The 26,411-nt window shown below is 37.9% G+C and overlaps 1 protein-coding gene across 7 annotated transcripts in view; it reads right to left on the bottom strand.

Annotated features, from left to right (window-relative positions):
• The window catches only part of VAMP7 (vesicle associated membrane protein 7), a 62,425-nt gene continuing 38,054 nt past the window's right edge, over positions 2,041-26,411 (bottom strand). For 5 of the 7 annotated variants that reach the window (NR_033714.2, NR_033715.2, XM_017030063.2 and 2 more), the window contains 3 exons: positions 25,930-25,997; positions 6,017-6,109; positions 2,041-3,927 (listed from right to left, as the gene is read on the bottom strand). Coding sequence is in view for 5 of the 7 variants with exons in the window: in XM_017030063.2 (XP_016885552.1) it covers positions 3,859-3,927; positions 6,017-6,109; positions 25,930-25,997 (230 nt within the window). In the remaining 2 variants the exon portion in view is untranslated. The remainder of the gene's footprint in view (positions 3,928-6,016; positions 6,110-25,929; positions 25,998-26,411) is intronic. The other 2 variants (XM_011545653.2, NM_001185183.2) reach the window with 1 other exon arrangement.

Below are 26,411 nucleotides of genomic sequence, written 5' to 3'. Positions count from 1 at the left end.
TTGACAAAGCAGTAGAGCCAATACTATGAATGAGTCTAGGAGGAACTGGGCTATGCTAGACTGGCACCATTGCTTTTGCCAGAAGCTGAGAATTTCATAGAATCCCCTTACCCTAGATGGTTTTAGGGTTAGCCTTTCTCAGTGAGTTGCACTTATATGAGACTTGGAAAGCAGAACAAAAGTAGAGGCCAGTACCCTTCAAAGGATACAAAGATGCTTAGGTGCCTGGTGTGTCGCAGCTTTTCCTCAACCTTTTCCATTCCACATCCAACTCATTCTGTGGACTGTTAGTCATGCTAACCAACTGGGGCTGCAAGCCTACTACTTGGTACTTGGCATCAGATCTACTGAAGCTGTGGCTTCCATAAACCTTTCCACATGTCTCTCTTCACACACCAACTTTGGCAAGTGTATTAGTCTTCTCTCATACTACTGTACAGATACTACCCGAGACTGGGCAGTTAATAAAGGAAAGAGGTTTAATTGACTCACAGTTTCGCAAGGCTGGGGAGGCCTCAGGAAACTTACAATCATGGTGGAAGGGGAAGCAGCCACCTTCTTCACAAGGTATCAGGAGAGAGTGAGTGTGTGAAGGAGGAACTGTCGAACACTTATAAAACCATCAGATCTCATGAGAACTCCCTCACTATCATGAGAACAACATGGAGGAAACTGCCCCCATGGTCCAATCACCTCCCACCAGGTCCCTCCCTTGACATGTGGGGATTATAGGGATTAAAATTCAAGGCGAGATTTGGGTGGGGACACAGCAAAACCATATCAGCAAGCAGACATACAGGGCTTCTTAGGTTTTCCAGCAAGCTCCGACCTGTCTGCCTATGTCACTGCCTCAAGTGAAAGCACTAGGACTGTTCTTCTGATCTTCTGGTACCTGCCTTCCAGACCTTCACTTCCCAGTTTGTCACACATTTTTGTAACCTTGAATCCTATATTAAACTCTTTGTTTCCCTAACACTTGTCTTGCCTCTGCTGTCTTCACTGGATTCACGCTGATATACATGGCAACCACAACCACTACTTCCACCCTGTTTATTATACTTGAGAAGATGGCATTGCAAGACATAGACTTGCTTCTAATGTAGAACACTTTGGTAGGGTCTACGGTGCTGCTGTTGTTGTTACATTCATTTCCATCAAGATACCCTGGGAAGCAACCCAGTATCTTTGTCTATCTTGAGGCCAGAAAAGATAGATACCAAGAGTCAAGCAAGAAGAAACCATTATCTAAAGGCACCTACATTCACTATTAAGGAAACTTTTGGATTGTAACACTGTTTTTTTTTTTGCCAAGGGTTTGAAGTAAAGAGAAATAGCTGGTGTCACTTCTTTCTTTATTCATAACCAAATAAATAACCATCTTTTATTTTTCTCTAAGTGTCTGTTAGAGAATGCACATTTCAGTTGAAATCTGGATAAAACCTAGGGAGAACTTAAATAGGCTGTTTTTAAGTTATTGCAGCCTGTACAAAAATATATTCTATACCTGACTTTAGCCACCTTACGTTCAGAGGTCCCAAGTGACTGATTATTTTGTTGTGACCTATCTATTTGTATATTTGATTTGTGCCTGTTTTTCTTTTATTTCTGTTTAGGTACCCTGTTTGCTATAATGAATTATTCCCTCCCACCATTATGCCTTCCGCTTGAGTCTCTTTCAGAACCAGTCATTTAACTTTAGATAGAAAGATTTTTCAGAATTGTGCTAAACTGGATGAAAATCCCTGGGGTTCTTTTTCAGTTCTGTCTAAATCATGCACTCAGGACGATAGTTGTGAAGGCTGTGTGATCATCTCAGAATCTTTCATTGGTTTCAGCATGGGCTATATATTTTTTAAGTTCATTTGTGTCTTTTGAAGAAATTCTACACACCTGAGACTATGCTACAGATCTTTACTGGAAGTCTCCAGGTAACACTTCTTAATATATTTTCCGCATAAGTAAAATACTTTTGTTCTGTAAACAATGGCAAATGTCATCAGAAGAAATTAGGTTCCAGAAAGAACTTCTAAAACAAGCAAATCATTGTATTACTCTTAAATTTTATTAACATCTTCAGTTTGTGCGTCATTTAAAATGAGACATGTGCTTTAAAAAGCATTCTTATACATAAATAGACCAAGGAACAGTTAGGTAATTGATCCCTAAAACATGCACATCAATTTTATTCAGGTGTGTATAAGAAAGGGAAATAAGCTTTAAACCTTTTTCTTTGGATTAAAAACATTTGGAAATTATTCAGGAATGCCAAATGTTTTTCTGGAACAGATGTATTTTCCAATAGGAAATACTGATGCAATTAAGAGGCATTAGTGTTGATAAAGAAGACTGGAAAAACGTTTGTGCTATGCTAGATAAACAAGAAAAGAGTTCAAGTGGGCCTAAGATCTATGTCAAATAAATGAATCAGGTAGCATGAATTGAAAGGTTTGGATAGAAGAACAGGTACCATGAGCCAGATTATGGGACACATATATGTTCAAGGCACATGACTAGGCTAAACAGGTGGCTAGATTCTACAGACTAATTTGTTCATTCATTGAGAAAGTGTAAAATGTAATATAATTTCAATTTAATGGCACTTATTGATAAATAAATGCAATTGGATCTAGGGTAGAAAATGTCTTCCTTTCAGATACACACCAGAAATGCATACTAGATAACAGATGCCAGTAGCGATATGATTACAGTCCAATTTTCTTACACTGCAGTTAAATGGTTGTTAAACTGTTTTGTATTAATTCTATATGTCATACTGTCTATTCTCTTTCAAGTTTCACAAAAGAATTCATCAAAACTAGGCAGATTTAAGAATTTATTTAACCACAAAGAATGCTCAAAACTATTATTCAACAGGAATCAAGCCCAAACCCTGGAGTTGACTGCTGACCGTATTCGGTTTGGGCTTTTCCCAGAATGGAAACACTTTTCCCACACTACCTCCCTTTGCACAGCTAAAATGCTAGCATATCCACTGTGGTTCCCTTCTTTTTCTTTGGCAAGTCAGAGGAATTTACCTCCCCACCCCCTCTACTACATATTCTATTAGCGACACGATTGCCCTAAATATTCACAGAAGAAAAAGGAACACATTTAAAAAACTGCAACTTTCAACAATATTTAAACCTTCATCTTCTCAAATCAACTGCAATGGGAAAACAGAAGATATCAAGCTATCCACTGTATTGTGAATGATCAGCACACTGAACTTTATTCCTGAAAGTCAATATTAGGAGGACAAGGATAATTCTGTGTGCTTCTAATGGGCTAGCAAAATGTTCCCCATCTAACTGAAATAAGAATGTTTCATACTTTACTTGTCTGAGCTCTTAGAAGGAAGCAGCACCAACATCATTACAATTCCCCAAATAACAACTATTATCCATTTATATTGTTTTGAAGCACCTAAAACTTCTCAATAACAAAAGACATTAAGATGAGATGTTAGCAATACTGTCTCTTGAATACTTTTGTGTGCACATACAAAGTTTCTCCATAGTTTTAGTAGATAGCTCATAAGACTAGCGGCGACAGCTTTGAGCAATTAAAAACAAAAATGTTTCTCTAAATAGATGACACTAGTTAACAAACCAAAGAAATAAACAAAAGCCTTTTTAAGGCTACTGCTGCAATGAATGGTTCAATCTGAAGTTCACAGGAATAAACTGGTAGATAAGACAAAGATAAACCTGGAGGCATGGAACAAGATTTTAAAAAGTGAGAAGAGGGTTGAAGAGACTGGCAGATACCATCTGTCAGTATGTGAAAGGCTTGAGTCACATGGATTGCTTTTAACTCCTTGTTCTCTCATATCCTTGGTTAATGGTAACTTCTTCTTTCCTATTTCTTCACACAGCTTGGCCATGTAAATCCACCACAGAGAGGTGAAACAATGATATAGATGAACACCTGGAGGGACGAGGAGAGCAATTTTATTTTCTTGAATCAATCATATTATTCTAAATAATATATATAGGAAAGTAGAGCCTTATTAAGAAATACTTCTGATTCCATTAGAGTAGCAGTTATGTAGTAATGGAACACACTAAACAAGTATTTTCCAAGACAGAAGTGTAGTTAACATTGTCGTTTTTGGTATAACTCACACCCACTTGAACTCTAGCGTTTCCTTCAGTGGGAGAGAAAGCAGTGGGGTTGTTGCTCTTCACTGGTAACTCGGCAGAATCAAGGCTAAATGAGCAACTCATACTGATGTGTCATTAACAAGTCATAAAAAAATCACAAATAACCATAATTCTCCTGAAGTATGGTTTCATTAATTATATTTTTAGGTTTTGCACATGAATTTTATTTTTGATTAATATAAGAATATATTTTAAAAGCCTGAGTAGAAGGCTTTCATCTATATCACTTATGAGCAAGAACACTGCTACGAACTGTTCAGTGGATAATGACACAATAATTACGATGACCAAAACAATGAAAAGCAGATGATGTAAGTAACACTGCAAAAATACTGGTGCTATTACAGATGTGTTTGCTTTTTAATTCTAGATTATAATTTTAAATTATATTATAAAAGTCACTACTTGTTCACATTATTATATCACAAAAAATAGATTTTAAACATTAGGTTCACTGCATTAGTCACTTTATTTTATTTATTTTTTATTTTTTATTTTTGTAGAGATAGGGTGTCACTATGTTGACCAGGCTGGCTTCAAACTCTTGGCCTCAAGCAATCCTCCTGCCTCAGCTTCCCAAAGTGCTGGGATTACAGGCATAAGCCCCTATGCCTGGCTTTATTTTGCTTTAAATTACAACTTTTTGAGATCTTTAAGTGACTGATTTCATTATTTGCAAGCTTGGAAAAGGATGCATTGATGAATTGCATGCCCTTTGCTCCAAAAGTGAGCAAAGCATTTTGCCTTGTAGGGAACTATAAATATTGCCAGGGTTGGGGGGCAGATTACAGCAAATTCTGTTTATTAATGAATAGGTTGAACTTCTGACATCATATTCACACATACACACACATACTCACACATACACATGCCACAAATGTAAAGTTTACCAACTTGATGTAAAGTTGACTATTTGTCACAGCTGTAATATAAGGATTTTTCAAGCTGAAGTACATCTCGTTAGGTGACAACACCTTTTCGCAAAGATTGATATTGCATTTAGAGCTGTGCTCTGCATGTAATAAGTAATCAGTAAATATATTCTGAATTTAACAATTCAGCTGCACAAATCAACCTAAACTCCCAGACCAAATAATAAGTAAGAAGCTAAGCTCAGGAGCCTAAAATGTGATATTAGAAAGAGAAACCTGAGCAAGGAACCATTCAAGGCCATGACAATTACTTCCAGTATAAAATCTACAGATCTATGACTGCTCTTCTCTTTTAGATAAATCCAGCTGTCTAAGGCAGAGGACCCTCAAGCTGTGGTAGAGGAGAAGCAGGGTCAGAGTTATCTGCTTGGAGGTAACTTTGGGCTTCTGGACATGACTGGAGGATGGGGAGGAAAGGCAACTTTATCTGACCATGAACAGGGTAAAGCACCCCCCACCTGTTAGCAATAGTTTTTAAAGTTGTGGTTTAGGACCTCTTTACACACTCAAAAATTACTGAGGACTCCAAAGAGTTCTTGTTTAAGGGGGATTATAATTATCAGCATTTGCCATATTAGAAATTAAAACTTTAAAAATACATAATTAATTTAAAAATAAAAACAATAAACCCATTACATATAAACCAGAAATGTCTTTATTTAAAATAACTACATTTCTGTGAGGTCAGTTTTATAGATCTCTTCCTATTGAGAATATATAATAATTCTCAATAGGAAGGAGGGGTTTAAGTAGAGATATTTCATAGTGACTTCATAGGAAAGCCACTGCCTGGTCATGTGTTTCACTATTAAAAGACATATGTAGCTCATTTCAGAGTGTTAATCATTGAGAAATAATTCTAGTACCTAATTTCTTAGAGATTGAAAAATAAAGCCATACACTAAAAGGACAAAAACTTACAATTGATACGATGATGATGATAATAGTGAGCTTGAGGTTCTTCATACACATGGCTCGAGCAAGATTTCTGCTGGTAGTTTTGAAGGTGACAGACTAGAAAAGAGGCGAGAATTGTTTAACCCCTGGCACTGACTACATGAATGATTTGCAGTAACAACCTGAGAACATTTTACTTCCATTAATTCCATTTAAGTCCAATGACCTCTCTTTACAAGTAGAGACTGGCCATTCATACTCAATAGTTGCCAAAAGCAAGACTCTGCCAGGCCTATCATAAGCAGTATGAGCCCAATGAAAACGCTTCCCTCTTTTTTCTTCTCCACTGCAGCAATGCACATGATGTTGAGCACCAGAAGTGGTTCTTCCCGCTAGTGGAAAAGAATTTTCCTCTCTATACTTCCAATAAGAAAGGCTCTTTTAAAGCCAGCTGACTGCAAGCACATTCGCCTATTCTGCCCCGTATAATTCCGGGGCTTTGAGCCATAAAAACCTGTTTGATTTCTGTAGGAAGATATGTATTTACTTTTGTGAGGGCCAAAACCCATAGAACTTCATTCCTTCTGCTATCCATTTTCTTTTGCATCATCAATTTCTCAGTATCTACTGAACAATTCCCACCAGGACACAAGGAGTTTAAAACAAAATGGCAAACAACCAACCAACAAAACTCCCTAATAATCCAGCAATCCACTCTGGTATGGTCCCACAGATGTATGCAAATTCACCAAAAGACATATAAAAAAATGTTTTGGACAGCACTACTTTTCATACCTTAAACTGGAAACCACCCAAATGCCCATCAACTGTGCAATGCATAAATTACAGGAGAGTCATAACATGGAATACAATACAGTAATGACAATTCACAATCTACTACTACATTTATACAATTTACCACAGATGAATCTCACAAACATCATTTTGAGCAATAGAAACTTGACATAAACAGAATACCTGCTATATTTTATTATTTATCTTGAGACAGGGTCTTGCTCTGTCGCCCAAGCTGGAGTGCAGTGGCACAATTACGACTCACTGCAGCTTTGACCTCCTGGGCTCAAACGATCCTCCCACCTCAGCCTCCTGAGTAGCTGGGACTATAGGTGTGTGCCACCACTCTCGGCCCCTGCTATGTTTTATTAATCTATGTGGAGAAATCAGGACAGTGGCCACCTTTGGAGAAGAGTAGTGACTAAAAGAAGGGAGAAGGGAGCTTCTGGGGTACTGTTCGTGCTCTAGTTCTTAATCTGGGTGTTGGTTCTACATGGTATGTTTACTTTGTGAAAACACAACAAGTTGTATGCTTACAGTTGATGCACTTTATGTATATTATACTTCACATATTGGTTTTAAAAAATCCACTCCCTTAACCATAGATTCATCTCCAACCACATACTCCACAAAGTCTCTGCAGTAGAACAACTGACAGGGGCACCAGTCTTTGGGTTTCACTTCATGAAGACTGCACAGGATGCCACCTGGAGGCACATACCAAAACTGATTACATCTAGAGCTAAATATATATGTTGAATAGAATATATGCATTGACTAGAACTTTTGAGAAGAAACAGCAGTTAAAGTGAGGAGACAAAAAAAGCAATGGGGACAAACAGTCCTTAATGGAACAAAGTTAATATGGGAAACAAGATAGAATAACAGTAATAAAAAAATTTCTAATAAGTATCCTCAGATACAAGACATAATTGAACTAATTTTAAACAAAGTCATCAGAGGACATAAAAAATTAGATAACATGACAACATTCCAAAAACTATATTTTAATAAAATGGCATAATTTTTTAAAAGCAGAACATAAATGAGCAAAAGCAGCTTCTGCAGTAACAATTCAAAAAATTTGTTCTGAAAACAGCAAAATGTCTAGGTTGTAAATCATGAAAGAAGATGTAAGATACACGGAAAACTGATCAAGCAAATCCAGGATCAATTTATACGATCAACAGATATTTAACATGTGCTTATTATGTGCCTGGTACTGATTTACACACCTATTAGCAGTCACAGGAGAGAATACAGCCAAAAGAGAAGGATCAATAATCAAGGGACTAATTGAAGAAAATATCCCCCAAATAAGACAGACTTGAATCTTCAGACTAAAAGGACCTACCCACCATGTGGCAAGAATATTGAAAAAAGGAAAATGTTACACTTTTAGTAACATTTCAGACCTCCAAGCTTTTGTTTCTACTCTAATTTTATTTTTTTCTGCCTTGAAGTATAATTGGCAAATAAAAATGGTATATATTCAAGGTATACAATGTGATATTCTGATAAATGTACACATTGTGAAATTATTACCACAATCAAGCTAAGTAAAATATCCATCACCTCACATAGTTACTTTTTTGGGTATGTGGTGAGAATGCTTAAGATCTATTCTTATAGCATATTTCAAATATTCAATACATTATTATTAACTATAGTTGCCATGCTGTATGTCCGGTATCCAGAACTTATTCATCTTACAACTGTAAGTTCATACACTTTGACCAACATCTCTCCAGGTCTCCCACCCACTGTCAACCACTGTTTTACTCTCTGCTTTTATGAACTGAACATTTTTTTTAGATTCCATATATAAGTGAAATCATACAGTATTTATCTATCTGTGTCTAGTATATTTCACTTAATATAATGTCTTCTAGTTTCATCCACATTTTAGAATTTTTTTTTCTATTCTGTGAAAAATGCCATTGGAATTTCAATAGGGATTGTGTTGAATCTGTGTATTGCTTCAGGCAGTATGAACATTTTAATAATATTGATTCTTCCAATCCATAAACATAAGGTATCTTTCCATTGATTTGTGTCTTCTTGAATTTCTTTCATCAATGTTTTATAATTTTCAGTGTGCACATTATTACATCCTTGGTTAAATTTATTCCTAACTATTGTACTCTTTTTGATGCTATCATAAATGGGATTTTTAAAAAATTTCCTTTGATTCCTGTTCCAAGATGGCCAAATAGGAACAGCTCCAGTCTACAGCCCCCAGCGTGAGCAACGCACAAGACGGATGATTTCTGCATTTCCAACTGAGATACCGGCTTCATCTCACTGGGGCTTGTTGGACAGTGGGTGCAGCCCACCGAGCGTGAGCCGAAGCAGGGCGAGACATCGCCTCACCCGGGAAGCACAAGGGGTCAGGGAATTCCCTTTCCTAGCCAAGGGAAGCTGTGACAGATGGCACCTGGAAAATCGGATCACTCCCACCCTAATACTGCGCTTTTCCAACGGTCTTAGCAAACAGCACACCAGGAGATTATATCCCGCGCCTGGCTCAGAGGGTCCCACACCCACGGAGCCTCACTCATTGCTAGCACAGCAGTCTGAGATTGAACTGCAAGGTGGCAGCGAGGCTGGAGGAGAGGCGCCCGCCATTGCTGAGGCTTGAGTAGGTAAACAAAGCTGCCGGGAAGCTCGAACTGGGTGGAGCCCACCACAGCTCAAGGAGGCCTGCCTGCCTCTGTAGACTCCACCTCTGGGGGCAGGGCATAGCTGAACAAAAGGCAGCAGAAACCTCTGCAAACTTAAATGTCCCTGTCTGACAGCTTTGAAGAGAGTAGTGGTTCTCCCAGGACAGAGTTTGAGATCTGAGAACAGACAGACTGCCTCCTCAAGTGGGTCCCTGACCCCCAAGCAGCCTAACTGGGAGGTACCCCCCAGTAGAGGCAGACTGACACCTCACACGGCGGGTACCCCTCTGAGACAAAACCTCCAGAGGAACGATCAGAGAGCAACATTTGGTGTTCAGCAATATTCACTGTTCTGCAGCCTCCGCTGCTGATACCCAGGCAAACAGGGTCTGGAGTGGCCCTCCGACAAACTCCAACAGACCTGCAGCTGAGGGTCCTGACTGTTAGAAGGAAAACTAACAAACAGAAAGGACATCCACACAAAAACCCCATCTGTATGTCACCATCATCAAAGACCAAAGGTAGATAAAACCACAAAGATAGGGAAAAAAACAGCAGAAAAACTGAAAATTCTAAAAATCAGAGCGCCTCTCCTCCTCCAAAGGAACGCAGCTCCTCACCAGCAACAGAACAAAGGTAGACAGAGAATGACTTTGACGAGTTGAGAAAAGAAGGCTTCAGATGATCAAACTTCTCTGAGCTAAAGGAGGAAGTTTGAACCCAGCACAAAGAAGCTAAAAACCTTGAAAAAAAGATTAGATGAATGGCTAACTAGAATAACCAATGTAGACAAGTCCTTAAATGACCTGATGGAGCTGAAAACCATGGCACGAGAACTAAGTGACGAATGCACAAACTTCAGTAGCCGATTCGAACAACTGGAAGAAAGGGTATCCGTGATTGAAGACCAAATGAATGAAATGAAGCGAGAAGAGAAGTTTAGAGAAAAAAGAATAAAAAGAAACGAAAAAAGCCTCCAAGAAATATGGGACTATGTGAAAAGACCAAATCTACGTCTGATTGGTGTACCTGAAAGTGATGGGGAGAATGGAACCAAGTTGGAAAACACTCTGCAGGATATTAGCCAGGAGAACTTCCCCAACCTAGCAAGGCAGGCCAACATTCAAATTCAGGAAATACAGAGAACGCCACAAAGATACTCCTCGAGAAGAGCAACTCCGAGACACATAATTGTCAGATCACCAAAGTTGAAATGAAGGAAAAAATGTTAAGGGCAGCCAGAGAGAAAGGTCGGGTTACCCACAAAGGGAAGCCCATCAGACTAACAGCTGATCTCTCGGCAGAAACTCTACAAGCCAGAAGAGAGTGGGGGCCAATATCCAAAATTCTTAAAGAAAAGAATTTTCAACCCAGAATTTCATATCCAGCCAAACTAAGCTTCATAGGTGAAGGAAAAATAAAATCCTTTACAGACAAGCAAATGCTGAGAGATTTTGTCACCACCAGGCCTGCCTTACAAGAGCTCCTGAAGGAAGCACTAAACATGGAAAGGAACAACACATACCAGCCACTGGAAAAACATGCCAAATTGTAAAGACCATCAAGGCTAGGAAGAAACTGCATCAACTAACGAGCAAAATAACCAGCTAGCATCATAATGACAGGATCAAATTCACACATAACAGTATCAACCTTAAATGTAAATGGGCTAAATGCTCCAATTAAAAGACACAGACTGGCAAATTAGATAAAGAGTAAAGACCCATCAGTGTGCTGTATTCAGGAAATCCATCTCATGTGCAGAGACACACATAGGCTCAAAATAAAGGGATGCAGGAAGATCTACCAAGCAAATGGAAAACAAAAAAAGGCAGGGGTTGCAATCCTAGTCTCTGATAAAACAGACTTTAAACTAGCAAGGATCAAAAGAGACAAAGAAGGCCATTACATAATGGTAAAGGGATCAATTCAACAAGAAGAGCTAACTATCCTAAATATTTATGCACCCAATACAGGAGGACCCAGATTCATAAAGCAAGTCCTTAGAGACCTACAAAGAGACTTAGACTCCCATACAATAATAAAGGGAGACTTTAACACCCCACTGTCAACATTAGACAGATCAATGAGACAGAAAGTTAACAAGGATATCCAGGAATTGAACTCAGCTCTGCACCAAGCGGACCTAACAGACATCTACAGAACTCTCCACCCCAAATCAACAGAATATACATTCTTCTCAGCACCACATCGCACTTATTCCAAAATTGACCACATAGTTGGAAGTAAAGCACTCCTCAGCAAATGTAAAAGAACAGAAATTATAACAAACTGTCTCTCAGACCACAGTGAAATCAAATTAGAACTCAAGATTAAGAAACTCACTCAAAACTGCTCAGCTACATGGAGACTGAACAACCTGCTCCTGAATGACTACTGGGTACATAACGAAATGAATGCAGAAATAAACATGTTCTTTGAAACCAATGAGAACAAAGACACAACATACCAGAATCTCTGGGACACATTTAAAGCAGTGTGTAGAGGGAAATTTATAGCACTAAATGCCCACAAAAGGAAGCAGGAAAGATATAAAATTGACACCCTAACATCACAATTAAAAGAACTAGAGGAACAAGAGCAAACACATTCAAAAGCTAGCAGAAGGCAAGAAATAACTCAGAGCAGAACTGAACGAGATAGAGACACAAAAAACCCTTCAAGAAATCAATGAATCCAGGAGCTGGTTTTTTGAAAAGATCAACAAAATTGATAGACTGCTAGCAAGACTAATAAAGAAGAAAAGAGAGAAGAATCAAATAGACGCAATAAAAAATGATAAAAGGGGATATCACCACCGATCCCACAGAAATACAAACTACCATCAGAGAATACTACAAACACCTCTACACAAATAAACTAGAAAATCTAGAAGAAATGGATAAATTCCTTGACACATACACCCTCCCAAGACTAAACCAGGAAGAAGTTGAATCTCTGAATAGACCAATAACAGGCTCTGAAATTGAGGCAATAATTAATAGCTTACCAACCAAAAAAAGTCCAGGACCAGATGGATTCACAGCCGAATTCTACCAGAGGTACAAGGAGGAGCTGACACCATTCCTTCTGAAACTATTCCTATCAATAGAAAATGAGGGAATCCTCCCTAACTCATTTTATGAGGCCAGCATCATCCTGATACCTAAGCCTGGCAGAGACACAACACAAAAAGAGAATTTTAGACCAATATCCCTAATGAACACCGACGCAAAAATCTTCAATAAAATACTGGCAAATCGAATCCAGCAGCACATCAAAAAGCTTATCTACCATGATCAAGTGGGCTTCATCCCTGGGATGCAAGGCTGGTTCAACATATACAAATCAATAAATGTAATCCAGCATATAAACAGAACCAAAGACAAAAAACACACGATCATCTCAATAGATGCAGAAAAGGCCTTTGACAAAATTCAACAGCCCTTCATGCTAAAAACTCTCAATAAATTAGGTATTGATGGGACGTATTTCAAAATAATAAGAGCTATGACAAACCCACAGCCAATATCATACTGAATGGGCAAAAACCGGAAGCATTCCCTTTGAAAACTGGCACAAGATAGGGATGCCCTCTCTCACCACTCCTATTCAACATAGTGTTGGAAGTTCTGGCCAGGGCAATCAGGCAAGAGAAAGACATAAAGGGTATTCAATTATGAAAAGAGGAAATCAAATTGTCCCTGTTTGCAGATGACATGATTGTATATCTAGAAAACCCCATTATCTCAGCCCAAAATCTCCTTAAGCTGATAAGCAACTCCAGCAAAGTCTTGATACGAAATCAACGTGCAAAAATCACAAGCATTCTTATACACCAATAACAGACAAACAGAGAGCCAAATCATGAGTGAACTCCCATTCACAATTGCTTCAAAGAGAATAAAATACCTAGGAATCCAACTTACAAGGGATGTGAAGGACCTCTTCAAGGAGAACTACAAACTACTGTTCAGCGAAATAAAAGAGGACACAAACAAATGGAAGAACATTCCATGCTCATGGATAGGAAGAATCAATATCATGAAAATGGCCATACTGCCCAAGGTAATTTATAGATTCAATGCCATCCCTATCAAGCTACCAATGACTTTCTTCACTGAATTGGAAAAAACTACTTTAAAGTTCATGTGGAGCCAAAAAAGAGCCTGCATTGCCAAGTCAATCCTAAGCCAAAAGAACAAAACTGTAGGCATCATGCTACCTGACTTCAAACTATACTGCAAGGCTACAGTAACCAAAACAGCATGGTACTGGTACCAAAACAGAGATATAGACCAATGGAACAGAACAGAGCCCTCAGAAGTAATACCACACATCTACAACCATGTCATCTTTGACAAACCTGACAAAAAGAAGAAATGGGGAAAGGATTCCCTATTTAACAAATGGTGCTGGGAAAACTGGCTAGCCATATGGAGAAAGCTGAAACTGGATCCCTTCCTTACACCTTATACTAAAATTAATTCAAGATGGATTAAAGACTTAAATGTTAGACCTAAAACCATAAAAACCCTAGAAGAAAACCTAGGTAATACCATTGAGGACATAGGCATGGGCATGGACTTCATATCTAAAACACCAAAAACAATGGAAACAAAAGCCAAAATTGACAAATGGGATCTAATTAAGGAGCTTCTGCACAGCAAAAGAAACTACCATCAGAGTGAACAGGCAACCTACAGAGTGGGAGAAAAGTTTTGCAATCTACTCATCTGACAAAGGGCTAATATCCAGATTCTACAAAGAACTCAAACAAATTTATAAGAAAAGAAACAAACAACCCCATCAACAAGTGGGTGAAGGATATGAACAGACACTTCTCAAAAGATGGCATTTATGCAGCCAACAGACACATGAAAAAATGCTCATCATCACTGGCCATCAGAGAAATGCAAATCAAAACCACAATGAGATACCATCTCACACCAGTTAGAATGGCGATCATTAAAAAGTCAGGAAACAACAGGTGCTGGAGAGGATGTGGAGAAACAGGAACACTTTTACACTGTTGGTGGGACTGTAAACTAGTTCAACCACTGTGAAAGACAGTGTGGCGATTCCTCAGGGATCTAGAAGTAGAAATACCATTTGACCCAGCCATCCCATTACTGGGTATATACCCAAAGGATTATAAATCATGCTGCTATCAAGACACATGCACACGTATGTTTATCGTGGCACTATTCACAATAGCAAAGACCTGGAACCAACCCAAATGTCCAACAATGATAGACTGGATTCAGAAAATGTGGCACGTATACACTATGAAATACTACGCAGCCGTAAAAAAGGATGAGTTCATGTCCTTTGCAGGGACATGGATGAAGCTGGAAACCATCATTCTCAGCAAACTACTGCAAGGACAAAAAACCAAACACCACATGTTCTCACTCATAGGTGGGAACTGAACAATGAGAACACCTGGACACAGGAAGGGGAACATCACACACCGGGGCCTGTTGTGGGGTGGTGGGAGGGGGAAGGGATAGCATTTGGAGATATACCTAATGTAAATGATGAGTTAATGGGTGCAGCACACCAACACGGCACATGTTTACATATGTAACAAACCTGCACGTTGTGCACATGTACCCTAGAACTTAAAGTATAATAAAAAATATATATATTTATAAAAAAAATAAAAAATAAAAAAGAATTAAAAGAAAAAAAATTTTTTTTTTTTTGAGATGGAGGTCACCCCTCTGTAACCCAGCCTGGAATGCAGTGGTGTGATCATAGCTCTCTGCAGCTCTGAATTCCTGGGTTCAAGCAATTCTCCATCTTCAGCCCCCCAAGTAGCTAGGACTACAGGTGCACCCAATCACACCTATTTTTTTTTTTTTTTTGTTTGGTTTTGTAGAGATAAGGTCTCACTTTGTTGCCTAGGCTGGTCTTGAACTTCTGGATTTTAGAGATCTTTCAGCTTTGGCCTCCCAAAGTATAAGTATTAGGATTATAGGTATGAGCTACCATGCACAGCCTTGATTTATTTTTCTAATAGACTGTAATCTAGATAGTAACAATGTGATTTAGGGTGGGGAAAAGACACTCCAGAAAAAATGACTATGTGATTTAGGAGGCTTTGGATCACACCAAGTGGAGCTGGAGACTGAGATCAAGCCAGAGGGCAGTCAGTCAATAATGCCTACATAATGAAACCCCAATAAAAACTCTGAACACTAAGGCTTGGGTAAGCTTTCCTGTTAGGCAATGCTCTGCACATTTTGTCACACACTGATGCCAAGAGAGCAACGTGTCCTGACTCCATGGGAAGAGGACAACAAAAGCTCTACATTTGGTATCTTCCCAAACTCCACCCTATGTACTTTTTCCCTTGGCTGGTCTTACTATGTATAATTTGCCTGTAATAAACCATAACTGTGAGTATAATAGTGCTCACAGAGTATTATAAATCCTTCTAATGAACTATCAAATCTGAGGGTGGTTTGGGGAATCCCCAAACTTGCAGTTGGTGCCATTAAGTGAGGGTGGACTTGAGTAAACTGTATAGTTGTTCATGCCATGGCTCCAGCGTGAGTGGATGGCTTGACTGAGATCCTGTTGCTCTGCTCCTCTGTGTTGCCAATCAATTTGGCCTTGAGACCTCACTAAGTTCTTTAAGCCATGGTACCTTTTTTACGTCTTTCCATCCAACACGGGACAAGAATATCTGGGAATAAGCCTCCCCAGTGACATGGGATAAACTTATATCTAAAATGCTGATCATCAATGCTTTCAGAAGAGAAAAATTTTGATCAAAAGGGGGAAATGAGAAAAGAAAAACAGCTCAGAGCAGCCTGAGCTATGTGAGGTATATAAAATTTATCAGGCCCAGAAGACATGAGTATGGGGACTTCAGTCACACCCCCCACACAATGCCCAGGGGGGGCAACTGTTTAAAGGCAATTTGTTGCTGACTAGCTGCCTCAACCATTATCTTCATGTTCCTGGAATTTGTGATACAAAGGACAATGTATAGCAATCAATAGCTTATGCTATTTTAATGTAAATTCTTGGTAAACAAATTAGATACTGCCTCTCCTTTTTTCCTTTAAAAACCTACTTGTAACTGCTGCTAATTAGAACATATATTCAGAGCAACTTGAATCTATGCTCCTGGGTTGCAGTCCTCAAACTTGGCCCAAATAAAAAACGTGTAAACTGTATAGTTGTTGAACTTCTCAGATGCCTAAATTCTTCATGCACTGAAATGCAGCAATATTCAGAGAATTTTGAGAGAAAATGATCTTAACCCTAGAATTCTACACCAGTCAAAAAATTGTTCAAATATGAGACCAAAATAACACTTTTATTCTTGAAGGGATTATCATCCACAAACTCATATGAAGAAAATGTGTGAGGATATACTACAAACAAAGACTAATTCACAATAAATAATTCAAGAAAGAGAAAGATGATGTAGATGAGAAAAAGCAGTGAGGAATGAAACTAATAAATCCGAACATAGCTGTGTGATTCAACAGGTTGTAATGGAGATTCCTCCACCACTCTCAGGTCAACATCTGAACACTGACAAACCATCTGTTTAAAACAAGTTCACCTATAAAGAACAATTGTTAAATGTTGCCCTAAGACATGCCTGTGTCCTAATCCCTATGAATGTGACATATGTGATATTATCTGGAAAAGGGGTCTTTACAGATGTGATTATGTCAAGAATCTTGAGATGAAGAGAGTATCCTGGATTATCCATGTGAGCCCTAAATGACATCACAAATGTCTCTATAGGAGGAAAGTAGATGGAGGCTTGACACACATGCAAAGGAGAAGGTAATGTGAACATGGAGGCAGAGACTACAATGATATAGCCACAAGCCAAGAAATACTGGCAGCCACCTGAAGCTGGAAGAGGCATGGAACAGATCCTCTCCTAGAGCCTCTGGAAGGAGTGTAGCCTTGCTAACACCTTAATTTCAGCCCAGTTAAACTGATTTTGAACTTCTGAAATCCAGTAGTGGGAGAAAATAAATTTTTGTTGTTTTAAGCCACCAAGTTTGTGATAATTTGTGATAGCAGCCACAGAAAGCTAATAACCATATATAAAAAGTTGAAAACCAAATATAAAAAGACACTCTTAAAACCAGCCAAAGGGGGCCAGGTGTGGTGGCTCATGCCTGTATTTCCAGCACTTTGGGAAGCCAAGGTGGGAGGATCACTTGAGCCTGGGCATTTGAGACCAGCCAGAGCAACATAGGGAGACCCGTCTCTAAGAAAAATTTAAAAAATTAGCTAAGTGTGATGGCGCATGCCTGTGGTCCTCCTACTTGGGAGGCTGAGGCAAGGCAGGAGGATCACTTGAGCCTGGGAGGTGGAGGCAACAGTAAGCTGTGATCGTGCCACTGCACTCCAGCCTGGGTGAGAGAGAGAGACTCTGTCTTAAAAAAACAAAACAAACAACAACAACAACAACAACAAAAGCCAAAGGTGGGGTAAGAATCATTATTTTTCAAGTAAGACTAAGAGAAATGACAATCTCTTTGAGAACATATGAAAGCCAAAGAAAAATGGAATGGCATTTTTAAAGCACTCACTTTAAAAAAAAAAAAAAACTGCCATTGTGAAAAACTAAAAAACTCTATGCAAAGAAAGTATTCTTTAAAAAAATGATGAAACAGATTTTCAGACAAAAGCTTAGAGAATCTCTCATCAGTAGATCAACATTATAAGAAACAATAAAAGAACTTCTTCAGTTTGAAGCAAACAAAATCGTACACTGAAACAGAACTGCAGGAAAACAATAAAGGACACAGAAAGAATTACAGGCATATCCCCTTTTATTGTACTTCACATTATCGCACTTCATGGATTTTTTTTTTTTTTTTTTTTTTTTTTTGGCAAATCGAAGGTCTGTGGAAACCCCATGATGAGACTATCAGCACCATTTTTCTGGTTTGTTTTTTTTTTTTCCTGCTTGGCCTGCACTTTTTGTTTCTTTTTATTATTATTATTATACTTTAAGTTCTAGGATACATGTGCAGAACGTGCAGGTTTCTTACACAGGTATACACGTGACATGGTGGTTTGCTGTACCCATCAACCCGTTATCTACATTAGGTATTTCTCCTAATGCTATCCCTCCCCTAGCCCCCACTCCCCGACAGGCCCCAGTGTGTGATGTTCCCCTCACTGTGTCCATGTGTTCTCATTGTTCAACTCCCACTTAGGAGTGAGAACATGCGGCAGCACCATTTTTCTAACAGCATGTGGTCGCCTCATGTCTGTGTTTTGGTAATTCTTATAACATTTCAAACTTTTCATTATTTTCATTCTATCTGTTATGACGATCTGTGACCTCTGATGTTACTATTGTGATTGTTTTCGGGTGCCATAAACTGTGCCTATATAAGGTGACGGAGCTAACGGATAAATGTTGTGTGTTCTAACTGTTCACTGACCAGCTATTCTCTTATCTCTCTCCCTCTCAGGCCTCCCTATTTGCCGAGACACAATATTGAAATTTGGCCAATTAATAACCTTACAATGGCATCTATGTATTCAAGTGAAAGGAAAAGTCACACATCCCTTGCTTTAAATCAAAAGATAAAAATAATTAAGCTTAGTGAGTAAGGCATGTCGAAAGCTGAGATGGGCCTAAAGCTAGGTGTCCTGTGACAAACAGTTAACCAAATTGTGAATGCAAAGAACAGTTCTTGAAGGAAATCAGGAGTGCTACTCCAGTGAACACACATATAAGAAAGCAAAACAGACTTACTGCTGATATGGAGAATGTTTTAGGGGTCTGGATAGAAGATTAAACCAGCTATAACATTTCCTTAGGCCAAAGCCTAATACAGAGCAAGGCCCTAACTCTTCAACTCTATGAAGGCTGAGAGAGGCGAGGAAGGTGCAGAAGAAAAGTTTAAAGCTAGCAGAAGTTGGTTCATGAGGTTTAAGGAAAGAAGCCATCTCTATAACATAAAAGTACAAGGTGAAGCAGCAAGTGCTGAGAGAGAAGCCACAGTAAGTTATCCAGGAGACCTAGCTAAGATCATTGATAAAGGTGGCTATACTAAACAACAGATTTTTCAATGTAAACAAAACACCCTTCTTTTGGAAGAAGATGCCATCTAGGACTTTCATAGAGAGAAGCCAATGACTGGCTTCAAAGCTTCAAAGGATAAGCTGACTTTTATTAGGGACCAATGCAGCTGATGACTTTAAGCTGAAGCCAATGGTAATTTACCATTCTGAAAATCTAGGGCCCGTAAGAATTATGCTAAATATACTCTGCCTGTGCTCTTGAAATGGAACAACAAACCTGGAAGATAGCACATCTGTTTACAGGATGGTGTACAGAAGATCTGTGGAGATCTGCTGCTCAAAAAGAAAAGATTCCTTTCAAAGTATTACTGCTCATTGACAATGAACCTAGTCACTCAAGAGCTCTGATGGAGACTTACGAGGAGATAAATGTCGTTTTCATGCCTGTGTGAAAGGAAAATAAATCTTGGGGCCTCCAAATCACTAAGCTAAAGGGAAAAGTCAAGCTGGGAACTGCTTATGGCCAACCTGCCTCCCATTCTATTCAAAGTCACCCCTCTGCTCACTGAGATAAATGCGTATCTGATTGCCTCCTTTGGAGAGGCTCATCAGAAACTCAAAAGAATAGAACCATTTGTCTCTTATCTATCTAAGACCTGGAGGCCCCCTCCCCACTTCGAGCCTTCCCGCCTTTGCTTCGAGTTGTTCCGCCTTTCCAGGCCAAACCAATGTTCATCTTGCATATGTTGACTGATGTCTCACGTCTCCCTAGAATGTATAAAACCAAACTGGGCTTTGACCACCTTGGGCACATGTTGTCAGGACCTCCTGAGGCTGTGTCACGGGTGTGCGCTCTCAACTTTGGCAAAATAAACTTTCTAAATCAACTGAGACCTGTCTCAGACTTTTGGGGTTCACACCTGCTAATACAACATCCATTCTGCTGCCCATGAATCAAGGAGTGATTTCAACTTTCAAGTCTTATTATTTAAGAAAAACATTTAGTATAGCTGCCATAGATAATGATTCCTCTGATGGATCTGGGCAAAGTAAACTGAAGACCTTCTAGAAAGGATTCACCATTCTAGATGCCATTAAGAACATTCATGATTCGTGGGAGGAAGTCAAAATATAAACATTAACAGGTGTTTGGAAGAAACTGATTACAACCCTCACAAATTACTTTGAGGGGTTCAAGACTTCAGTGGAGTGAGTAACTGCAGATGTGGTAGAAATAGAAGAGAACTAGAATTAGAACTGGAGCCTGAAGACATGACTGAACTGCTGCAGTTTCTTGATAAAACTTTAATGAATGAGGAGTTGTTTCTTATGCATGGGCAAGGAAAGTGGTTTCTTGAGATGGCAACTATTCCTGGTGAAGATGCTGTGAACACTGTTGAAATGACAACAAAAGATTTAGAAAATTACATCAACTCAGCTGATAAAGCAGTAGCAGGGTTTGAGAGGATTGACTCCAATTTTGAAAGAAGTTCTATTGCCAGTAAATTGCTATCAAATAGCAACACATGCTACAGAGAAATCTTTTGTGAAAGAGTCAATCAATGTGGTAAACTTCACTGTTGTCTTATTTTAAGAAATTGCCACAGCCACCACAACCTTCAGCAACCACCAGCCTGATCGATCAGTCAGTAGCCATCAACATCAAGGTGAGACCCTCCACCAGCAAAAAGATTAAGGCTCACTGAAGGCTCAGGTGATTGTTAGCATTTTTTTTTAAGCAATAAACTATTATGCTTAGTGAAATAAGCCAGACACAAAAGGGCAAATTTTGTATGATCCCACTTATATGACATATCTAGAACAGGCAAATTCAGAGACAGAAAGTAGATTAGAGTTACCAGGGGCTGAGAGTAAGGGGAATGGGGAGTTATTATTACTTAATGGTTACAGAGTTTTTGTTAAGGGGTGATAAAAAAGTTTTGGAAATAGCTAGTAGTGATGGATGCACAACATTGTGGATGTAATTAACATCACTGAATTGTGCACTTTAAAAAGGTTAAAATGGCAAAATTTTATGCTATACATATTTTACCACAATTTTAATAATGTAATATACTAAATTCCACTGAAGTGTACCCTTTAAATGGGCAATTTGTATGGTCTGTGAGTTATCTCTCAATAGAAGTGTTAAAAAACAAATAGAGATGGTTAAAAAACAATTTAAAAAGTACTTGAGTAATCAAAATAAAAAAGAAGAGGACAGGGATGCGGCAAATAAAAAACAAAGAGCAAGATACCTACACCTAACTCTATCAAAATTTGCATTACATGTAAGTGGAATAAGCACTTCAATTATAAATATACTTCATATACTCAAGGTAGAGGAAAGTATGCACATGTTAAGGAGACACATGGAAGATATAAAAAAGATCCAAAACAAACCTGTAAAGATGAAACATACACAGGACAGAAACAGCAGATTGCGAACTGCAGAAGAAAAGGTAAGTAAACTTGAAGACATAGCAATAGAAACTATTCTAAATGAAACATAGTGGAAAAAAGACTTAAAAATGAACAAAGCATCAGTGAGTTGTGGGACAGCTTCAAGTGGCTTAATACAGATGTCACTGGAAGCCTAGAAAGAGCTAAACATTTTCATAATTTGATGAAAACTACAACAAACTCAAAGCCAAAGAAACATAAAGAAATATATACCAAGGCATATATATTATAATCAAATTTCTTAAAACCAATGATAAAGAGAAAATCTTTAAAGCATCCAGAAGAAAAAAAAATACACTTTATGTATGTAAGAATGACAGCAGAATTCTTGTCAGAAACAATGTAAAAGACAGTGATGAACCACCGTTCATCAAGTATTAAAAGAAAGAAAAATCACTGACCTAGAATTCTATACTCAGTGAAAATGTCTTTCAAAAAAAAAAAGGAAGTGAAATAAAAACTTCTCAGACATACCAAACCTGAAAGAATTCATTTCCAGTAGACCTACACACTTGAACTACAATGGAAGATTATATGTTAAATTAAAGCATACAGGCAGAAAGAAAATAACATCAGATAGAAACTCGGCCTACACAAAAGAATTAAGAGCACTGAAATGGTAGCTGCATGGGTAAACAGAAAAGACTTCCCTTATTATTTAAATCTCTTTAAAAGATAATCAACTCTTTAAACAAAAACAACAACAATGTATTATGAAGTTTTTAATACATGTGTAAATAAAAATATGTCAACAATAGCATAAAGGCCAAGAAGAAACAGCTAGAAGTATACTATTATAAGGTTCTTATCTATTCATGAAGTGGAAAAATGCCACTTTAAGGGAGATTATAAATCAAAGACATACTGTAAACCCTAAAGCAATCAGAAAATGACAGAATGGAGCTATAGCTAATAAACTGACAAAGGAGACATAATGGAATAACAAATGTACTAAATCCAATGGAAGGCAGAACAAAAAGGGAACAAAGACTAGATGGTATAAATAGGAAACAAACAGCAAGATGGCAGATTTTAAATTTTCCAACGAAGAAAACTCGAGGCCCAATCTGCTTTACTAGTAAATTCTTCCAAACATCTAAGACAGATAATACCAATAGTACCCAAACTCAGAAGATAGAGAGGTAAGATTTCCCAACTTGTTTAATGAGGCCAGCATATTCCTGATACCAAAACCTAAAGAGAAAAATAAATTACAGACCACTATCTCTTATAAACATAGATGCCAAATTCCTGAACAAAACAATAGCAAATCCAATAAAGTGTTATATAAGAAGGGTAGTAAGTCATGACCTTGCAGGAATGCAAAGTTGGTTTAACACTGAAAAATCAATGTAATTTGCCATACTAACTGAATAAAGGAGAAAAACCAAAGATCTCAATAAATGGAGAAAAAGCATTTGATAAAATCATGAATACAACTCTCAAATGAGGAATTAAAGGGAATTCTTCCACCTATTAAAGGGTACCTACAAAAAATCTACAGTTAACCACAAACTTAACACTGAATTTATTTTTTTCAAAAAGTATTGAATTTTTCCCCACAAGATGGTCAATAGGCAAGGATGTTCACTGTTATCACTTGTATTCAGTATTGTGTAGAAGGTTCTAGCCAGAATAAGGGAAGGAAAATAAAAGGCAGGAATGTACAAAACAGTAACCAGAACTGGTAAATGAATTTTTCTAAGGTTGCAGAATACAAACAAGGTCAATATACAATAACCAACTTTATTTCCATATACTAGCAATAAAGAATTAGAAACAAAATTTAAAAATTTGTTACACAATACAAAAGCATGATATTCTCAAGGGTAAATTTAACAAATATGTGCAAGACCTGTACACCAAAAACTAAAAAATACTGCTGAGAAAAATTTTTAAATCCTAAGCAAAAGCAGAGATATGTCACGTTCATGGACCGAAAAACTCTATACTGTCAAGATACCAATGTCCCCTAAAGTGACCTATATATTAAATGCAGTCACAAAGATACACATTGTTGTGGGGTCAAGAGATGGAAAACAAGCTTATTCTAAAACATATATGGAAATGCAAAGCACCTAAAAGAGTGAAGACAATATTGGACAACAAGAATATAGTTGGAAGACTTACACTACTTAATTTCAAGAATTCTATTAAGTTATACTAATCAACACAGTGTGGTACTGGCATAAAGGTAGACAAACTGACCAATGGAACAAAATAGAGAATCCAGAAATAAAGCCCCACAGAGAAGAACGGATAAACAAATTGTGGTAGATTTGTATAATGGAATAATATAAAACAATAAAAAAGAATAAGTGATTACTATAATAAAAAACGTGGATGAATTTCACAGGCATAACAGTGAGTGAAAGAGGCCAGACACAAATAAATTTTAAGAACAGGCAAAACACTATCTGTGGTGATATAAGTCAGAAACATAATTACGTCTATTGGGGATTATTAACTGGAAGGGGTATGAGGCAGCCTTCTGGGGTGTTGGTAATGTTTTCTATCTAGATCTGGGTGGTGGTTACATGGGTATAGATATATATAAAAAATAATTGAGCTATACACTTAAAAGTTGTACACTTGATACAATTTGCTGCACGTATGTTATTCTACCATAAAGAGAGATACCTGTTAGTTCATTAGTACCTTCTGTTTTCAGTCATGAAGTCAACAAAATTAAGACTTTTATTTGTAAAGTACAGATCATACTACTATTGGTCAAAGACAGACCATTCCCCCTAAGCAGGGTAATCCTCAAGAATTAAGAATAACTAAGAGACAGCCTGGAAGTATCAAAGAAATTGGTCTGCAGATCTGGAATCAGATACTTCTCTGTTTTCTTTGCTCCCCAGCAATGGGTCACAAAGTGAGATCTAGAACCCAGGTGTTTTGACTTCCTGTATGGTAGCATCCTTCCTCCACCTACCACATGCTTTGATGAAAAAACTGTTTATAAACTCCTAGAAAACCTGATAGTAGACTGTATATACTAAAACCTGCTGCTAATAGATGTCCCTGTAAAATTAACAATAATGATGAACATTTAAATAGCTCTTACTATGTATCAAATACTGTGTTAGGCACTTTACATGCATTATCTGATTTAATCCTTAAAATGCTCTGAAGTGGGTACATCTTCATTTTACAGAAGATGATGACTGAGGCACAAAGAGGTTAAGTCATTTGCCTAAGGTCACACAACTAGTAAGTAGCAGAGGTGGGATTCAAATCCAGGCAACCTGATACTAGAGCCTGTGTTCTTAACCACTACAATCCAGCTGTCAGTCACAACGAACATAATCAATCACTGTTTTCTTTCAAGGTGTAAACCTGCACTGTACATTTACATTTATAATTGTGTAGACCCAAATTGTAGCTGATCTCTGCCCTCCTTCTGTTCACCATATATCTGTCATCTTTCCTTAAAACTTTCATCCACAGTAACTGCATTGAAAATGTGAGGACATACGGAACCATAGTATAAGCAGCTCACAAGGACACATTGTCTCCTTTAAGGCTTATTGGCGCTTTCCAATCGATGTCTCTTGATTGATACAAGGCAAGATGAAACTATCAGTGTAAGCAAAAAAGTGAATTGTCCAGTTTTCAAGATTCATACTGGGTCACAAACGGCTTGCACATTTGTTTCATGTTTTACAAATTTGTAAAGGGAACAGACTGTTACATGCAGTTGAGGTGCTAAATTATATAGGCCTCAATCCAAAGCTTTAGAAAATTGTTTCTGTATACTGAGTATGTTTTCCAAACCAAAGCTACCTTAATGGCTATTAGGGGATGATGTTTCTTTTCTATGCCTCATTGTTATCCTCATTATTACAAAGTAATCACATAATGGAAATGAGAAAGAAAAAAAAACCACCAAATATTTGAATTTAAGGTATTTCCCAATTATGTTAGCCATCATCCATAGTTTCTCCACTTTACATCAGACTCCATATTATCAGATTCCATACTTACAGAATCCACAAGATTTTCTGTTTTGTCAATCAATAATTCCAATCTTTCTCCTCGCTGAGCTACCAGATCTGAAAATATTGGAAAAGTAGAAAAGGTCAAGTTTTCCATTGTAGAATAAAATAAACTTTTTTTAAAAAAGTAATATAACTTAATGAATACACTGTCCTGGGGCCAAAGGACAGGCATGCTTCACCCACTGGTGACACCACTCGAAAACAAGGACTAGCCCACCTGAAATCCCCATGCCCATCAAAACTTCACCACAGCCTCCATAACAACTACACCCTAAGCCACTAAGAAAAATACAGACATGGTTGATGATGCTGTTTATAGCTGAAGAAATTATACAGACTACACTACTGAATGTACCCATAATCAAAGTCTAAGTGCCCTGCCCAACCAACACCATAGATATATCCTCAAGAAAAAGTCCTTGCATATTAAAGCAAATCTAAAAATTGGAAGAAGTGACCATAGAAATA

This window comes from Homo sapiens, chromosome Y (genome assembly GCF_000001405.40).
Source record: "Homo sapiens chromosome Y, GRCh38.p14 Primary Assembly".
NCBI lineage: Eukaryota > Metazoa > Chordata > Mammalia > Primates > Hominidae > Homo > Homo sapiens.
Note: the sequence above shows the minus strand (reverse complement) of the source record. Positions and strands in the feature narration are given on the sequence as shown.